Source organism: Homo sapiens, chromosome 16 (assembly GCF_000001405.40).
Source record: "Homo sapiens chromosome 16, GRCh38.p14 Primary Assembly".
Taxonomy (NCBI): Eukaryota; Metazoa; Chordata; class Mammalia; order Primates; family Hominidae; genus Homo; species Homo sapiens.
Window position 1 is genome coordinate 4,275,637 of NC_000016.10, and position 18,445 is coordinate 4,294,081.

Here is an 18,445-nt window from a genome sequence, read left to right on the forward strand (position 1 = left end):
CCCAAGTAGCTGAGATTACAGGCGCCTGCCACCAGGCCTGGCTAATTTTTGTGTATTTTTAGTAGAGACGAGGTTTCACTATGTTGGCCAGGCTGGTCTCGAACTCCTGACCTCGTAATCCACCTGCCTCCGCCTCCCAAAGTGCTGGGATTACAGGCATGAGCTACTGCACCTGGCCTCCTTGGTCCAATTTTGTCTCCCAGAGACGAGGGACTGTGCTTTTACTCTTTTCTCTCTTCACGGGGGATGGTACAGGGCTGGGCACATGTGTGAACTGCAGAGAGTGATCTGCAAAGCTGATATCCCTGGAGACAGCCTTGGCAGAAAGGATGAGAGGGAGACCCTAGGCACAAGTGGGTGGCCCAGGCAGACCCGGGAGCTGGCTGCCCACACTGAACTGGGTAGTAGGCACTCATCCCCTCTCCTAATAAATCAAGGAAGCCCCCGCAAAGCAGCGGCATTTGGAGTCCGGCCAGGGGATGGCAGAGACCTGCTTTTTCATTTGTCTTGGAAGTCATTTCTAGGCCCACACAGAATCTGGTTCCTGGGGCAAGAGTTGACATCGCAAAATGTAAGAGAGTGACAAAAATTTCAACACCCAAGATAAATTATGTTGGGTTTTCTTTGTTGTTATTGTTGTTTTTTTTTGAGACAGAGTCTCGCTCTGTCACCCACGCTGGAGTCCAATGGCGCAATCTCGGCTCACGGCAACCTCCGCCTCCCGGGTTCAAGTGATTCTCGTCCCTCAGCCTCCTGAGTTGCTGGGACTACAGGAGTGCGCCACCATGCCCAGGTATTTTTTGCAATTTTTGTAGAGATAGGATCTCACCATGTTGCCCAGGCTGGTCTTGAACTCCTGACCTCAAGTGATCCACCAGCCTTGGTCTCCCAAAGTGCTGGGATTACAGGCATGAGCCACCGCGCCCAGCCTCAAATTACGTCTTAATTTAACATTTTAAAACATCAAAATTGGCTGGGCACAGTGGCTCATGCCTGTAATCCCAGCACTTCGGGAGGCCCAAGTGAGTGGATTGCTTTAGCTCAGGAGTTCAAGACCAGCCTGGGCAACGTGGTGAGACACCATCTCTATAAAAAATATAAAAGAATTAACTTGTCGTGGTGATGTAGTCCCAGCTGTTCGGGAGGGTGAGGTGGGAGGATTGCTTGAGCCCAGGGAGGTTGAGGCTGCAGTGAGCTGTGATCGTGCCGCTGCACTCCAGCCTGGGTGACACAGCAAGACCCTGTCTCAATAAAATAATACATAAATAAAATAATAAAATAAAATAAAATAAATTACTGCCAAAAATCCATACTAAACACACTCTCCACATTTTAATGACTATCTCAGTATTACTGATTTTTCCCTTTCCCTCAGGCTTCAGTATAGCTCTCCAAGACACTGTTGCTGATCCTTAGCTTTAAATTCAAATAATGGCCAGGCACAGTGTCTCACACTTGTAATCTCAGCACTTTGGAAGACCGAGGCAGGAGGATCCCTTGAGGCCAGGAGTTGGAGACCAGCCTGGACAACATAACCAGATGCTGTCTTTACAAAAAAATAAAAAAAAATTAGACTGGCACGGTGGTGCATGCCTAAAGTCCCAGCTACTTGGGAGGCTGAGGCAGGAGGGTTGATTGAGCCCAGGAGTTCAAGACTACAGTGAGCTATGATCACGCCATGGCCCTTCAGACTGGGCAACAGTGTAAGACCCTGTCTTAATAATACATTTTAACTGGGAGTCCAAAGTAGGTAGATCACAAGGTCAGGAGATTGAGACCACCCTGGCTAACATGATGAAACCCCATCTCTACTAAAAATACAAAAAAAATTAGCCAGGCATGGTGGTGGGCACCTGTAGTCACAGCTACTTGGGAGGCTAAGGCAGGGGAATCGCTTGAACCCGGGAGGTGGAGGTTGCAGTGAGCCGAGATCGCACCACTGCACTCCAGCCTTGGTGACAGAGCGAGACTCCATCCATAAAATAATAATAATAATAATAATAATAATAAAATTTTAAAAATTCAAAGACTGGGCCAGGCGTGGTGGTTCATGCCTGTAATCCCAGCACTTTGGGAGGCAGAGGCAGACAGATCACTTGAGATCAGAAGTTCGAGACCAGCCTGGCCAACATGGTGAAACTGTCTCTACTGAAAACACAAAAATTAGCCGGGCATGGTGGCAAGTGCCTGTAGTCCCAGCTACTCAGGAGGCTGAGGCAGGAGACTCACTTGAACCCGGGAGGCAGAGGTTGCAGTAGTGGAGATCGCACCACTGTGCTCCAGCCTGGGCGACAAATTGAGACTGTCTCAAAAATTAAAAAAATAAACATTCAAAAGCTGGTTCAACATTGATTTCTAATACTGATTTATTATAAATCAATAAATGTGTTTTTAATTTGTAATTCAGATATTTTGGTCATTGTAAATTTTTGGCATTAATTTCAATTTTTTCTTGAGACAGGGTCTCACTCTGTTGCCCAGGCAGGAGGAGTACAGTGGTGATACAATAGCTCTTTGCAGGCCTTGAACTCCTAGGCCCATGTGATCCTCCCAACTCAGCCTCTCAAGTACCTGGGACTACAGGCATGCCACCACCATGCCTGGCAATTTTTAAAATTTTTTGTAGAGACAGGGTCTCACTATGTTGTCCAGGCTGGTCTTAAACTCTTGGACTCAAGCCATCCTCCTGCTTCGGCCTCCCAAAGTGCCGGGATTATAGGTGTGAGCCACTGTTCCTGGCCAGTTTTGATTTCTCTAAAGTATTGCATTAAAGTTTTGTGAAACTTGATTACTGAGGGGTTTGGTGCTCCCATTAACTTTTGTTCCCCAAGCAAGGGCCTCCCTTGTATTACCCTAGCCCCACCCTGCTGCTTGTGATTCCCGCAGCTACTGAGGTCTCACTCTAGCCCAGGCAGAAGGCAGCAGAATCAGGGCTGCCCGTCAGCCTTCCGGGACCCACTCTGTGTCCCCAAGGAACATGGGCATCATTTGCACAGCCCTGGAGAGGGACTGTCCAATCAGTCCTGGCTACTTCTTTCTGTGTTCACATATCCTACTTGGCCACACGGAAATCAAACCAGAAATGCTGCCCTCGAGAAGCTGCCGACCACACTGCAGTGACAGGAGCTGTGCTCAGGAAATGATGACATTTGGAGACAATCAATATATGCCATAGGGCCACAAAACCAAATGCACTGAATGACCTCTCCGGTGCCTGAAAAAATGAGTGAATGAATGAATGGCAACTGGAGCAAGCGTGTCTACCTCCTGCTCCTCCCTTACAGAATTGCCTTGACTAGGCCGGGCGTGGTGGCTCACGCCTGTGATCCCAGCACTTTGGAAGGCTGAGGTGAGTGGATCACCTGAGGTCAGGAGTTCAAGACCACCATGGCCAACATGACGAAACCCTATCTCTACTAAAATAAAAAAATAGCCGGGCGTGGTGGCGGGTGCCTATAATCCCAGCTACGCAGGAGGCTGAGGCAGGAGAATCTCTTGAACCCAGGAGGCGGAGGTTGCAGTAAGCCAAGATCGCGCCACTGCCCTCCAGCCTGGGCGACAGAGTAAGACTCTGTCTCAAAAAATAAATAAATACAATAAAAAATAAAAATAATCAATCAGGCCAGGTGCCGTGGCTCATGCCTGTAATCCCAGCACTTTGGAAGGCCGAGGTGGGCGGATCATTTGAGGTCAGCAGTTCAAGACCAGCCTGACCAACATAGTGAAACCCAATCTCTACTAAAAGGACAAAAAAAAAAAAATCTAGGCATGGTGGCACATGCCTGTAGTCCCAGCTACTTAGGAGGCTGAGGCAGGAGAATCGCTTGAACCCGGGAGGTGGAGATTGTAGTGAGCCGAGATTGTGCCACTGCACTCCAGCCTGGGAGAGCCAGACTCCGCCTCAAAAAAAAAAAAAAAAAAATCAGGCCGGTAGCAGTGGCGCATGCCTGTAATCTCAGCACTTTGGGAGGCCAAGGCAGATGGATCACTTGAAGTCAGGAGTTTGAGACCAGCCTGGCCAACATGGGGAAACCCTACCTCTACTAGAAATACAAAAATTAGCCAGGCATGATGGCAGGCACCTGTAATCCCAGCTACTCGGGAGAGTGAGGTATGAGAATCCCTTGAACCTGGGAGGCAGAGGCTGCTGTGAGCCGAGATTGCGCCACTGCACTCCAGCCTGGGTGACGAAGCATCTCAAAAACAAACAAACAGGCCGGGTGCCGTGGCTCATGCCTGTAATCCCAGCACTTTGGGAGGCTGAGGCAGGTGGATCATGAGTTCAGGAGATTGAAACCATCCTGGCCAACATGGTGAAACCCCATCTCTACTAAAATACAAAAAATTAGCTGGGCATGGTGCTGTGTGCCTGTAGTCCCAGCTACCCAGGAAGCCGAGGCAGGAGAATCGCTTGAACCTGGGAAGCAGAGGTTGCAGTGAGCCGAGATCATGCCACTGCACTCCAGCCTAGCGACAGAGCAAGACTCCGTCTCAAAAAACAAACAACAACAACAAAATGAATAAATATATTAGGAGTCAGCAAGGTTTTTTCCCTAAAGTACCAGATAGTAAATATTTTAGGCTTTGCAGACCACACGGCCTCCTGCAAGCACTCTATTGTCCCTCCGGCTGGAAAGCAGTCCTAGATGGTATATGAATGAATGGGCATCTCTGGGTGCCAATAACACTTTGCTTATGGACACAAATGGAATGTCGTATAATTTCATGTGCCACAAAATATCATTTGATCGCTTTCCAACCATTTGAAAATGTAAAAGTTCTATGGCCTCCGTAACAAGTTACTACAAGCTTAGTGGCATAAAACAACATAAATTTGACCAGGAATCATGGCTCATGCCTGTAATCTCAGCACTTTGGGAGGCTGATGCAGGAGGATCACTTGAGGCCAGCAGTTGGAGACCAGCCTGGGCAACAACATAGGGAAATTCCATCTCCACAAATATATGTCTGTGTGTGTGTGTGTGTGTGTGTGTGTGTGTGTGTGTGTGTGTGTATAATTTTAAAAAACAACACAAATTTATTCTCTGAAGGTCAGAAGTCCAGATGGGTTATGTTTGGCTAAATTCAGGGTGTAAGCAGGGTTGTATTTCTCCTAAAGTTCTAGGGAAGAATCCGTTTCCTTCCCTTTTCCAACTTGTAGATGCCACTCACATTCCTTGGCTTGTGGCCCCTTCCTCCATCTTCAAAGTGCACTTCTCAGTCTCTGCTTCTGCCATCCCATCTCTCTCACCCTTTCATCTCCCTCTCTTGATGACCTTGGGCCCACCCAGATAATGCAGAATAATCTCCCCATCTCAAAATCCTTAACGTAATCACAACTGCAGAGTCCCTTTTGCCACATAAGGTAACTATTGATAGGTTCTGGGGATGGGGCATGATCTTCATTGGGGGGGCCATTATTCTGTCTACCACACCATTCTTGGTTTGTGAGCCATGCAACAGGCAGTAGTTATCATAGGCCCCAGCAATTCCACTCCTAGGTAAACATCCAAGAGAATGAAAACAGGGACTCAAACAGATCATGGTACACCCATGTCCACAGCAGCATTATTCATACGAGCCAAAACATGGAAGCAACCTAGTATCTATCAACTGATGAATGGATAAACTAAATGTGGTCTGTCCATACAGTGGAATATTATTCAGCCATAAGACAGAATGAAGCACTGACACCTACTACAGCATTACATTTATTGCATACCTTATTTCTATTATTACACTATAATATATAATAAAATAACTATGCAACTCACCATAATGTAGACTCAATGGGAGCCCTGAGTTTGTTTTCCTGCAACTAGACAGTCCCATCTGGGGGTGATGGGAGATAGTGACAGATCATCAGGCATTAGATTCTCATAAGAAGCACTCAATCTAGATCCCGCACACCCACAGTTCATTCACAATAAGGTTGCACTCCTATGAGAATCTAATGCCACCGCTGATCTGGCAGGAGGCGGAACTCAGGCAGTACCGCTAGCCATGTGGAGTGGCTGTAGATACAGATGAAGCTTGGCTGGCTGGCTCACTTGTTCACCCACCAAGAGTTCAACACCAGCTGGGAGAGGTGGCTCATGCCTGTAATCCCAGCACTTTGGGAGGCCAAGGCAGGCAGATCACCTGAGGTTAGGAGTTCAAGATCAGCCTGGCCAATATGGTGAAACCCTATCTCTACAAAACTACAAAAATTAGCCAGGTGTGGTGGCCTGTGCCTGTAATCCCAGCTATTCAGGAGGCTGAGGAGGGAGAATCATTTGAACCTGGGAGGCAGAGGTTGCAGTGAGCAGAGATCACACCATTGCACTCCAGCCTGGGCAAGAGAGCGAGACTACTTAAAAAAAAAAAAAAAAAGAGTTCAAGACTGTCCCGGGCAACATGGTGAGACCCCGTCTCTACAAAAACAAATAAACAAACAAATAAATAACTGGTTAAACAGTAAGTCTTTGTTATGTATATTTTACCACAATAGAAAAAGGTTTGTTATAAAAGCAGTGGGCTGGGCCAGGCTCAGTGGCTCATGCCTGTAATCCCAGCACTTTGGGAGGCTTGAGGAGGTCAGATCACCTGAGGTCAGAAGTTCGAGACCAGCCTGGCCAAATGGTGAAACCCTGTCTGTATTCAAAATACAAAAACTAGCTGGTTGTGGTGGTGGGCGCCTGTAATCCCAACTACTGAGGGGGCTGAGGCAGGAGAATGGCTTCAACCTGGGAGGCAGAAGTTGTGGTGAGCTGAGATCACACCATTGCACTCCAGCCTGGGTGACAAGAGCAAAACTCCCTCTCAAAACAAACAAACAAAAAATGCAGTGGGCCATAGTCGGCTGACCCCATTGATCCTGCTAACTCCTGCAGCTGTGACCCAGTTCATCTCACACTGCCTGCTCTTCCCCTCTCCCTACCTGAAAGAAACAGCCAAATATGGCTAGAAAGAGGAAATCCCACAACCTTGCTGATTGGTTTGTTTTTATTTTTTCCCTCCAGTCAGCAACAGTTGTATTAGGGATGTTGTCAAAGTCAAAGTCACCCGCTAGGTGACGGGTTTTTGGATTTTTGTTTTTTTTTTTTTTGAGACAGGGTCTCACTCTCACTCAGGCTGGAATGCAGTGGTGCACGGCTTATTGTAGCCTCCTGGGCTCAAGCAATCCTCACGCCTCAGCCTCCCAAAGCACTGGGATTACAGGCGTGAGCCACTGCACCAGACCCTCTTTTTTTTTTTTTTTTTTTTTTTTGAGACGGAGTCTCTCTCTTTCGCCCAGGCCAGACGGCAGTGGCGCTCTCTCTGCTCACTGCAAGCTCCGCCTCCCGGGTTCACGCCATTCTCCTGCCTCAGCCTCCAGAGTAGCTGGGGACTACAGGTGCCAGCCACCGTGCCCGGCTAATTTTTTGTATTTTTAGTATAGACAGGGTTTCACCATGTTAGCCAGGATGGTCTCAATCTCCTGACCTTGTGATCCACCCATCTCAGCCTCCCAAAGTGCTGGGATTACAGGCATGAGCCACCGTGCCCGGCCTCCACCAGGTCCTTTTTTTGAGACAGAGCTCTGCTCTTATTGCCCAGGCTGGAGTGCAACGGCACAATCTCAGCTCACCGCAACCTCTGCCTCCTGGGTTCAAGTGATTCTCCTACCTCAGCCTCCCAAGTAGCTGGGATTACAGGTGCCCACCACCATGCCCAGCTAATTTTGTATTTTTAGTAGAGATGGGGTATCTTCATGTTGGTCAGCCTGGCCTCGAACTCCAGACCTCAGGTGATCCGCCCGCCTTGGCCTCCCAAAGTGCTGGGATTACACGCATGAGCCATCGCGCCCAGCCTGCCACTGCTCTTATTTTTAAGTGCCTGATCCATACCCTCAAGTGGGTCTGGGGGTTGCTGTGACTGCATCCTGTTGCCCTGGCCCCTTCTTCCTACCCTTCCTTCTCCTCTCCCCTCAAGCCCTCTAGCACCTCCTCCTTGCTTGTAGCTCACTTCCCGTTCCTCTGAGGGAAATGGAAGCAATTAGAAGAGACCTTCCACAGGCTGCCATGCCCGCCACTGCCTCCCTCTCTGTGCCTGGGAACTGCCATCGGCCAGTGTCTCTGGATGAGCATCCATGCTGTTCATGCACAGAAGACCCTTCTACTTGCACAACTCAGAGCCGTCACTCCAGAAACTGTCCTCTCTCCTTTGTCTTCAGTGCACACCGTCTTTTGGATCATACCCATTACTAACAAGCTGTTACTATTCTCCTTTCAAACCAACGGACTGACCCTAGATCCCCTTAGCTCTGCTCTCTTTTCTTGGTTTTGAGACAGTCTCACTCTGTCACCCAAGCTGGAGTGCAGTGGCATGATCTCCACTCACTTCAACCTCCACCTCCCAGGTTCAAGCCATTCTCTTGCCTCAGCCTCCTTTGTAGCTGGGACTACAGGTATGTGCCACCACGCCCAGCCCAGCTCTGGAATCTAACAGCAAAACTCCTTGAAATGGATGTTCACACTCACTCTCTCCCCTTCCCTCCTGCTCACTCCATCACACCCCCATGACTGCATGGGGGCAGTGACTCACTTCTGTAATCCTAGCACTTTGGGAGGTCAAAGCAGGAGGCAGGAGGATGGCTTGAGCCCAGGAGTTCCAGACCAGCCGGGCAACATAGCAAGACTTCATCTTTATAAATAATTAAAATATTAGCCAGGTGTGGTGATGCACATCTTTGGTCCCAGCTACTACTCTGGAGGCTGAGGAGGGAGGATCACTTGATTCTAAGAGGTTGAGGCTGCTTTGAGCCAAGAGTGCACCACTGCACTCCAGCCTAGACCGCAGAGTGAGACCCTGTCTCCAAAATAAAACACATATGGCTGGGCGCGGTGGCTCATGCCTGTAGTCCCAGCACTTTGGGAGGCCAAGGCAGGTGGATCACGAGGTCAGGAGTTCAAAACCAGCCTGGCCAAGATGGTGAAACCCCCATCTCTGCTAAAACTACAAAAATTAGCCAGGCGCAAGGGCAGGCACCTGTAATCCCAGCTACTCAGGAGGCTGAGGCAGGAGAATCGCTTGAACCTGGGCAACAGATCGCACCTGAGCCGAGATCGCACCACTGCACTCCAGCCTGGGCAACTGTGAGACTGTCTCAAAAATAAATAAATAAATAATAAAACACACACACACACACACACACACACACACACACACACACACACAAACCCTTCTCTTTTCAAAGTCACGAGGACCTCCAGGATGCTACATCTGGGTCTCTGTTTTCTGCCTTCACTGCATCTGACCTTCTTGAAATTCTTTTTTTGCTTTGCGTCTAGGACATGCCCACGGCACAGCCCTCAGACCTGTCTCTGTCTACACACACTCCCTGCTCTTCAGACAACAGACTTCCAGAAACCACTAGCAGCCACGAAGTGTGGTACAGAATCCAGGTCCTGCCTGAACCCCAACCCTACTAACCTGACTCTGCTCTCTCATCTGCAAAATGAAAGCCACACAGCATCTCCCTGGCAGGGCTGTTGTGAAAAGCTGGTGACAGCCTGGCATGTCACGGCATCAATGAGTGTTGGTTGCTGTCATCCCTGGCACCAAGTTGCCATGGGCGGCAGTGGCCAGAGGCGTCTGAGCTGACCTTGGAGAACGACAAGATTTCCTGATATGTAGGGAAGGTCGGAGGTGGGGCTCAGCCTTTCCCCTTCCCAGCTCTACGTGGCAGCAGGTGGGAGGCAGCAGGCATGCGCTGGGCTTTGCTGTTCACACAGGGTGCACCTGCTTCCCACTCGAAACACCCTCATGTGGTGGGGCAGTGAAAATTGGCAAACAAACCACTTGCCCTGTAAAAGGTGGGTCTCTTGGCCGGTCACAGTGGCTTATGTCTGAAGTCCTGGCTACTCAGGAGGCTGAGGCGGGAGGATTGCTTGAGCCTAGGAGTTAAGGCTGCAGTGAGTCGTGATCATGCCACTGCACTTCAACCTGAGCAACAGAGCAAGACCATGTCTCAAATAAATAAATAAATAAATAAATACAAATAAAAGGTGGGTCTCTGTAAAAAAAGAAAGTAATCAGCAGAGTGTGGTGGCACACATCTGTAATTTCAGCTACTCCAGAGGCTGAGACAGAAAAATCCCCCAAGTCCAGGATTGCAAAGGCAGCCTGGGCAACAGAGTGAAATACTTCAAAACAAAATAAAATAAAATAATTAAAAAAAAAAAAAGGGAAGGCCAGGGGCAGTGGCTCACGCTTGTAATCCCAGCACTGTGGGAGGCTGAGGCAGGTGGATCACCTGAGGTCAGGAGTTCGAGACCGGCCTGGCCAACTGGTGAAACTTCATCTTTACTAAAAATACAAAAATTAGTCGGGCATGGTGGCGCACGCCTGTAGTCCCAGCTACTTGGGAGGCTGAGGCAGGAGAATCGTTTGAACCCGGGAGGTGGAGGTTGCAGTGAGCCGAGATTGTGCCACTGCATTCCAGCCTGAGTGACAAAGCGAGACTCCATCTCAAAAAAAAAAAAAAGCAACTTTATTGACTGACCCTAAAGATGGCCACAAGTCCAGGAAGCCCCAGAAAGCAAGCATGGGGGATTCCTTAGAGCAGAGGATTCAGGACTCCTTCCCTTGGCTCTTTCCTCACTGGCTCGGAGGTGTCAGCTGCTCTGACCATGCCATCAGCACAGCAGTTTTCAGGACAAAGGCTACCCCCAACCCCTTCCCAGGCTGGTTGGGAGCTGCTGGTTGGAGATGGGAAATCATAAGAACTGCAGCCAGGAGGAAGAGCTGTCGGCAAAGGTGGCTGCTGCAGAGGTGAGGATAGGTTGTTCTCATTTTTACACTTAGGTTTTTGGGTCTTTTTTTTCGGGGGGTGGGGTTTGATCGCAGTGGTGCAATCATGGCTCACTGCAGTGTCAACTTCCTGGGCTCAGGCCGGGCACAGTGGTTCACACCTGTAATCTCAACACTTTGGTAGGTAGGGGCGGGCGGATCACTTGAGGTCAAGAGTTCGAGATCAGCCTGGGCAACATGATGAAACCCCATCTCTACTAAAAAATTACAAAAATTCGCCAGGGGAGGTAGCACACGGCTGTAGTCTCAGCTACTCAGGAGGCTGAGGTAGAAGAATCACTTGAATCCAGGAGGCGGAGGTTGCAGTGAGCCGAGATCCTGCCACTACATTCCAGAACGAGACTCCTTCTAAAAACAAAACAAAACAAACAAAACTTCCTGGGCTCAAGCGATCCTCCCGCCTCAGCCTCTGCCACCACACCTGGCTTTTTTGTATTTTTAGTAGACACGGTGTTTCTAGAATTTTCTTTTCTTTTTTTTTTTTGAGACAGAGTCTCGCTCTGTCGCCCAGGCTGGAGTGCAGTGGTGTGATCTCAGCTCACTGCAAGCTCTGCCTCCCGGGCTCACGCCATTCTCCTGCCTCAGCCTCGCGAGTATCTGGGACTACAGGCGCCTGCCCCCATGCCCGACTAATTTTTTGTATTTTTTAGTAGAGATGGGGTTTCACCATGTTAGCCAGAATGGTCTCAATCTCCTGACCTCTTGATCTCCCCGCCTCGGCCTCCCAAAGTGCTGGGATTACAGGTGTGAGCCACCGCGCCTGGCTAGAGACAGCGTTTCACTGTGTTAGCCAGGAATGGTCTCAATCTCCTGACCTCGTGATCCACCTGCCTCAGCCTCCCAAAGTGATGGGATTACAGTCGTGAGCTACTGCGCCCGGCCTAATATTATTCAGCATTTTTTTTTTTTTTTGAGACAGAACTTTGCTCTTGTCGCCCAGTCTGGAATGCAATGGTGCAATCTCGGCTCACTGCAATCTCCACCTCCCTGGTTCAAGTGATTCTCCTGCCTCAGCCTCCTGAAAAGCTGGGATTACACGCATGCACCACCACGGCCGGCTAGTTTTTTGTACATTTTAGTAGACACGGGTTTCACCATGTTGGCCAGGCTGGTCTTGAACTCCTGACCTCAGGTGATCCGCGCACCTCAGCCTCCCAAAGTGCTGAGATGACAGGCATGAGCCACAGAGCCCAGCCTACACCCGGCTAATTTTGTATTTTTAGTAGAGACAGGGTTTCTCCATATTAGTCAGGCTGGTCTTGAACTCCCAACCTCAGGTGATCCACCTGCCTCGGCCTCCCAAAGTGCTAGGATTACAGGCGTGAGCCACCGCACCCGGCCTATATGTGTTAATTTTCTTAATTTTTTTGTAGAGATAGGGTCTTCCTATGTTGCCCAGGCTTGTCTCAAACTCATGGACTCAAGCGATCTTCCAGCCTCAGCTTCCCAAGGTGCTGGGATTACAGGTGTGAGCCACTGCGCCTGGCCAACTCTGCTTTTTAAGAGTGCATGTGATTAGGTCAGAATCATTGATAATCTCTCTGCCTCAAGGTCAACCATAGCATGTCATGCATCCTAACCACAGAAGTGATATATTTGTAGGTTTTGCCCACACTCATCAAAAGGGGGTTACACCAGGGTAAAGGGCATTGGGGGTCACAGGAAAATTCTCCTGCCCCAGATGGGGGGTTTGAAGGTAGGATAGAGTAAGGGAGGAGAATTTCCTGAGAACATACAGAGAATTGGAGATGGAACCCAGGCAGGAATCTATGTCCTCAGTCTTAACGAGGCTTGTTCCGCTATAGAAATTTGCTGGGAGCAGGGGGATGCAGCACCTGACCTTTCCGGCCCTGCTATACTCCCGTGCATATGGGGAACCATAGCCTCTTTGGGGTGGTGGCGGGGGCAGGGACACCAGTCGTTGGAGCCAGGTTGAGAAGCAAAAAGTCCCTGCCTGGGAAAGGATCCTGGATGCTCCCAGGAAGGCGGAACGGGGGTCAGATGCTCCTACTGGGGTTCGGAGCAAAGCCACTTCCGGTCCTCTGGCCCTCCTCTCCCCAAGTCAGGGGGACATCTCTGGGCTCACAGGGCTGGGGCTCCCCCGACCAGTAGGGGGCGTCCGGCACACGCGCTGCTTTGTGGATGCCGAGCAGGAACACGGTGGGGGAGCCCCAGGCAGGTAGGTGTTGGGGTGAAGGGGCTGACCGCAGCCCCCCACAATCCCGAGGCCCTGCAGATCCCTACAGTGCCTGGCTTGTCTAGGGAGACCTGTGATGCGCGCCTCCTCCTCCTCAGTTGGATCTGATTCACTTTGGCCATGAGTAAGCACTGAAAATGCAGCTGGTTCCCGATGGCTCACACCTGGGATCCCAGCCCTCTGGGAGGCCAGATGAGAGGATCATTTGAGCTCAGGAGTTCCAAACCAGCCTGGGCAACATAGCAAGATTTCATCTTTAAAAAAAATTAGCAGTGCGCGGTGGCTCATGCCTGTAATCCCAGCACTTTGGGACGCCGAGGCAGAAGGATCATTTGAGGTCAGAAATTCGAGGCCAGCCGGGACAACATGGTGAAACCCCACTTCTACTAAAAATACAAAAATTTGCCGGGCGTGGTGGTGGGCAGCTGTAATCCCAGCTACTCAGGAGGCTGAGGCAGGAGAATCACTTGAACCCGGGAGGTGGAGGTTGCAGTGAGCCGAGATCGTGCCACTGTACTCCAGCCTGGGCAACAGAATGAGACTCAGTCTCAAAACAAAAAAAAAAAAAAAAAAAAAAAAAAAAAAAAAAAAATTAGCTAGGCGTGATGGTGTGCACTTGTAGTCCCAGCTACTCATGAGGCTGAGGCAGGAGGATCACTTGAGCCTACGAGTTCAAGACCAGCCTGGGCAACATAGCAAGCCCCCATCTCTACAAAAAATGTTTTAAGGCCAGGTGTGGTGGCTCATGCCTGTAATCGCAGCACTTTGGGAGGCCAAGGTGGGCGGATCACCTGAGGTCGGGAGTTTGACACCAGCCTGACCAACATGGTGAAACCCCATCTCTACTAAAAACACAAAATTAGCCAGGCATGGTGGCGCATGCCTGTAATCCCAGCTATTTGGGAGACTGAGGCAGAAGAATGACTTGAACCCACGAGGCGGAGGTTGCGGTGAGTCCAGATCATGCCATTGCACTCCAGCCTGGGCAACAAGAGCGAAATTTCGTCTCAAAAAAAATTTTTTTTTTTTAATTGGCTGGGCACAGTGGCTCACTCCTGCAATCCCAGCACTTTGGGAGGCCGAGGTAGGCGGATCACCTGAGGTCAGGAGTTTGAGACCAGCCTGGCCAACATGGCGAAACCCCATCTTTACTAAAAATACAAAAATTAGTTGGGCATGGTGGTGGGCACCTGTATTTCCAGCTCCTCAGGAGGCTGAGGCATGAGAATTGCTTGCGCCCGGGAGACAGAGCCTGCAGTGAGCTGAGATCATGCCACTGCACTCCAGCATGGGGGACAGAGAGAAACTCCATCTTAAAAAAAAAAAAAAAAAAAAAAAAAAGGGCCAGCATGGTGGCTCACGCCTCTAATCCTAACATTTTGGGAGGGCAAGGCAGGTGGATCACCTGAGGTCAGGAGTTCGAGACCAGCCTGGCAAACATGGTAAAATCCCGTTTCTACTACAAAAAATTTACCAGGCACGGTGGCGCGCGCCTGTAATCTCAGCTACTCGAGAGGCTGAGGCAGGAGAATTGCTTGAACCTAGGAGGTGGAGGTTGCAGTGAGCTGAGATCGCGCCATTGCACTCCAGCTTGGGCAACAAGAGCGAAACTCCATCTCAAAAAAAAAAAAAAAAATCAGCTGGGCCTGGTGGCACATGCTGTGGTCCCAGCTACTTAGGGAGCTGAGGTGAGAGGATCACTTGATCCCAGGATGTTGAGGTTGGAGTGAGTCATGATTGCACCACTGCATTCCAGCCTTGGTGACCCAGGGAGACCTTGTCTCAAAAACAAACAAACAGACACACAAACAAACACACAAAAATGGGGCTGGCTGCAACCCTATTTGAGGTGGCTGGAGTCCCCTGCACCCTCTCTCTCTGGCCCCAGCTATGGGCGCCTGCCAGCCCTCTCCCTCTCCTTCTCCCTCTGCCTCTCCGTCTCCCCTCCATCAGCTCACCCGCCCTGTCCTTTTCAGCACTCAATTTCTCTTCCTCCTCCCACACTCGAAGAGGATTTCAGCTCCCTTTAGGGACTTTTCCCCTAGGGAAGTGCCTCTCTGCTTCTCAGTGTCCACAAGGAGGAACCAGGTGCCCAGGCCTTCAACCGAGTGCACTCCCTCTAGAAACACTCAATTCACAGCCATGCTGGCTGGACTGTTTCTGCTTTACACAGAAATGGCCATCAAACTGCTTTATCAATTGATTATGAGGCCATGGGGCAGTTACAATAATTTCATCAAGCAGAGCAGAGCCTGTTGACATGGAGGATGGACATTTCTGAAGACCCTCAAAGAATTAGCTGTAACCATGAGACCAGATCTAAGACCCCTGACACCCAGCCTGGGGCCTTCTCACCAGGAGGCCTCTGGTTAATAGAAAATGAGAGTAAATCAGGCCAGGCGTTGTGGCTGACACCTGTAATCCCAGCATTTGGGAGGCCGAGGCAGGTGGATCAACTGAGGTCAGGAGTTCGAGATCAGCCTGGCCAACATAGTGAAACCCTGTCTTTGCTAAAAATACAAACATTAGCTGGGCTTGGTGGCGTACCCCTGTAATCCTAGCTACTCAGAAGGCTGAGGCAGGAGAGTCGCTTGAACCCAGGAGGCAGAGATTGCAGTGAGTCGAGATCGTGCCACTGCACTGCAGCCTGGGCGACAGAGTGAGACTACGTCAAAAATTAAAAAAAAGAAAGAAAGATGAAAGAAAGAAAGAAAGAGGCCAGACACGGTGGCTCACGCCTGTAATCCCAGCACTTTGGGAGGCTGAGGCAGGCAGATCATGAGGTCAGGAGATCGACACCATCCTGGCTACATGGTGAAACCCCATCTCTACTAAAAATACAAAAAATTAGCCGGGCGTGGTGGCGGGCACCTGTAGTCCCAGCTACTCAGAAGGTTGAGGCAGGAGAATGGCGTGAACCCAGGAGGTGGAGCTTGCAGTGAGCCGAAATTGCGCCACTGCACTCCAGCCTGGGCAACAGGGCGAGACTCCATCTCAAAAAAAGAAAAAAGAAAGGAGAGAGAGAGAGAGAAAGAGAAAAGAGCCAGCCAAGGAACCAAGGCAGTGTGGCCAGAGAGAGTGGAGGGTCAAAGGAGGCCCACAAGAAATCAAGGGGAGCTAGGGGCCGTGGCTCACACTTGTAACCCCAGCACTTCGGGAGACTGAGGTAGGAGGATCACTTGAGCCCAGGAGTTTGAGACCAGCCTGGACAACATAGCAAGACTCCTTCTCTACAAAAATTTAAAAATTAACTGGGTGTGTTGGTGGTGCACCTGGCCCAGATACTTGGGAGGCTGAGGAGGTAGGATCACTTGAGGCCAAAAGGTTGAGGCTGCAGTGAGCCATGATCATGTCACTGCACTCCAGCCAGGGCAAGCAAGTGAGACTCTTGAAAAAAACAAAGAGCCGGGTATGGTGGCTCACGCCTGTAATCTCAGCACTTTGGGAGGCTGAGGTGGGCAGATCACTTGAGTGCAGGAGTTTGAGACCAGCCTGACCAACATGGTGAAACCCCATCTCTACTAAAAATACAAAAATTAGCCAGGCGAGGTGGCACACTCCTGTAGTCCCAATTACTCAGGAGGCTGAGGCAGGAGTGTCCCTTGAACCCAGGGGGTGGAGGTTGCAGTGAGCCAGGACTGCGCCACTGCACTCCAGCCTCTGACAGAGCGAGACTCAATCTCAAAAAAAAAAAAAAAAGAATGAAAGAAACCAGAAAGTTGCATTTGGGGATCAGAAGAAAGGCAGGAAGCAGAGGCATGTGGGATGAGGACACCTGGGAGGTGCCATCTCCAGTGTCCCTCTGGGTGACTGGATCTCTTCACATGGAGTAGACAGAGGTTGGGAACGGAAGGTGGAATGTCATGTTCCACTTGAGACTGGAAAAGGGAAGGCTGGGGCTGACCAGGCCAGAGGAGGGCTGGAGGCCTGCGCTCATGAAAACCAAAGCTGGGTGAGTTTCCAGCTGGGAGAGGCAGCCAGGAAACAGGGCCAGCTCTCCCTGGGGAGGGGCAGGCTCCAAGCCCCAGTGTGGGTCCGGGGGCGGGAGCCATAGATCATCACCAGCGCAGGCCAGTGCTGCTGTGGGGGCTTTCTTCGCACTCCTAGTTTCTTTTTTTTTTTTTTTTTTTTTTTTTGAGACGGAGTCTCGCTCTGTCGGCTCACTGCAAGCTCTGCCTCCTGGGTTCACGACATTCTCCTGCCTCAGCCTCCCGAGTAGCTGGGACTACAGGCACCTGCCACCACGCCCGGCTAATTTTTTTTTTGTATTTTTAGTAGAGACGGGGCTTCACCGTGTTGGCCAGGATGGTCTCGATCTCCTGACCTCGTGATCCACCTGCCTCGGCCTCCCAAAGTGCTGGGATTACAGGCGTGAGCCACCGCGCCCAGCCTCCTAGTTATTTTCTTTCCTTCCTTCCTTCTTTTCTTTTTTGAGAGGGAGTCTCACTCTGTCACCCAGGCTAGAGTGTAATGGTGCGATCTTGGCTCACTGCAACCGCAGCCTTCCAGGCTCAAGCAATTCTCCCACCTCAGCTTCCCGAGTAGCTGGGATTATAGGCACCAGCCATCATGCCCTGCTAATTTTTGTATTTTTGTAGAGACAGAGTTTAACTATGTTGGCCAGGCTGGTCTTGAAGTCCTGACCTCAGGTGATCTGCCCGCCTCGGCCTCCCTAAGTGCTGGGATTACAGGCGTGAGCCGCCGCGCCCCACCTGCACTCCTAGTTTCATCCTCACCATGGTGCCCTGAGTCCTATGATCACGCCCAAGGGGCTTGGCCAAGCCCATCACAGCCAGCCACTACCAGGGCCTGCACTTCTTTCAGGCTCCTCCAGATCCCCCCGTGGCTGCCCTGGAGAATGGCTTCCTGTTGGCCTCAAAACTCAAGAGCTTACCTGGTCCTGGTGGCTCAACCGTGGCCAGGTAAATCCGGGTACAAGAGGAGGGTCCCGCTGGGCATGACAAGGCATACGGAGGGAGAAAACATGGCCATGCATGAAACGACAAGGTCAGCTACCAGGTGAAATGTAGCCCCTTCCTGTGGGCTGATGGTCAGAGCCAGACTGTCAGAGGAAGGAGCAACTCGTAGGGGTCAGAAAGGGTTTTGGCTTCAAGTCTGTGCAGACAAGGAAGAAGCAAGCGCAGTAAGCACTGTGGAGTGGGGACCGGGGGCAGCAAAGGGACCGGCTCTGGGATTGCTCTCTCCTCCCTCAAGCCCGCCAGAGCTTGAGCCCCTGGTGCCCCTTTCCTGCTGTGCAGCTGCGGCCGCCAGCGCATCAGGGGTTAATGTCTGGCTGGTGCCGGCTTCAGCAGCAGCAGCAGCAACAGCAGCAACAGACAGTGGTGCCAGTAACTCAGAGGCTGAAATGTGAGAAGCAAGACGAGAGGGGCAGGGCTGGGAAAGGCTGAGCAGCAG

The 18,445-nt window shown here is 50.7% G+C and overlaps 5 annotated features.

The window, feature by feature from the left end:
• Nucleotides 6,812-7,106: a silencer, noted in NCBI's record as "tiled region #12742; HepG2 Repressive DNase unmatched - State 8:EnhW". NCBI's record gives its function as "represses a minimal TATA promoter and a strong SV40 promoter by Sharpr-MPRA in HepG2 cells {active_cell/tissue: HepG2}" and the evidence as "EXISTENCE:reporter gene assay evidence [ECO:0000049][PMID:27701403]".
• Nucleotides 11,066-11,567: an enhancer, noted in NCBI's record as "H3K27ac hESC enhancer chr16:4336703-4337204 (GRCh37/hg19 assembly coordinates)". NCBI's record gives its function as "activates a minimal SCP1, AML or CMV promoter by ChIP-STARR-seq in naive H9 embryonic stem cells {active_cell/tissue: H9 hESC(naive)}" and the evidence as "EXISTENCE:reporter gene assay evidence [ECO:0000049][PMID:30033119]".
• Nucleotides 11,568-12,067: an enhancer, noted in NCBI's record as "H3K27ac hESC enhancer chr16:4337205-4337704 (GRCh37/hg19 assembly coordinates)". NCBI's record gives its function as "activates a minimal SCP1, AML or CMV promoter by ChIP-STARR-seq in naive H9 embryonic stem cells {active_cell/tissue: H9 hESC(naive)}" and the evidence as "EXISTENCE:reporter gene assay evidence [ECO:0000049][PMID:30033119]".
• Nucleotides 12,796-12,905: an enhancer, noted in NCBI's record as "active region_10339". NCBI's record gives its function as "activates an Ori minimal core promoter by ATAC-STARR-seq in GM12878 lymphoblastoid cells {active_cell/tissue: GM12878}" and the evidence as "EXISTENCE:reporter gene assay evidence [ECO:0000049][PMID:35858748]".
• Nucleotides 14,505-15,123: an enhancer, noted in NCBI's record as "H3K27ac hESC enhancer chr16:4340142-4340760 (GRCh37/hg19 assembly coordinates)". NCBI's record gives its function as "activates a minimal SCP1, AML or CMV promoter by ChIP-STARR-seq in naive H9 embryonic stem cells {active_cell/tissue: H9 hESC(naive)}" and the evidence as "EXISTENCE:reporter gene assay evidence [ECO:0000049][PMID:30033119]".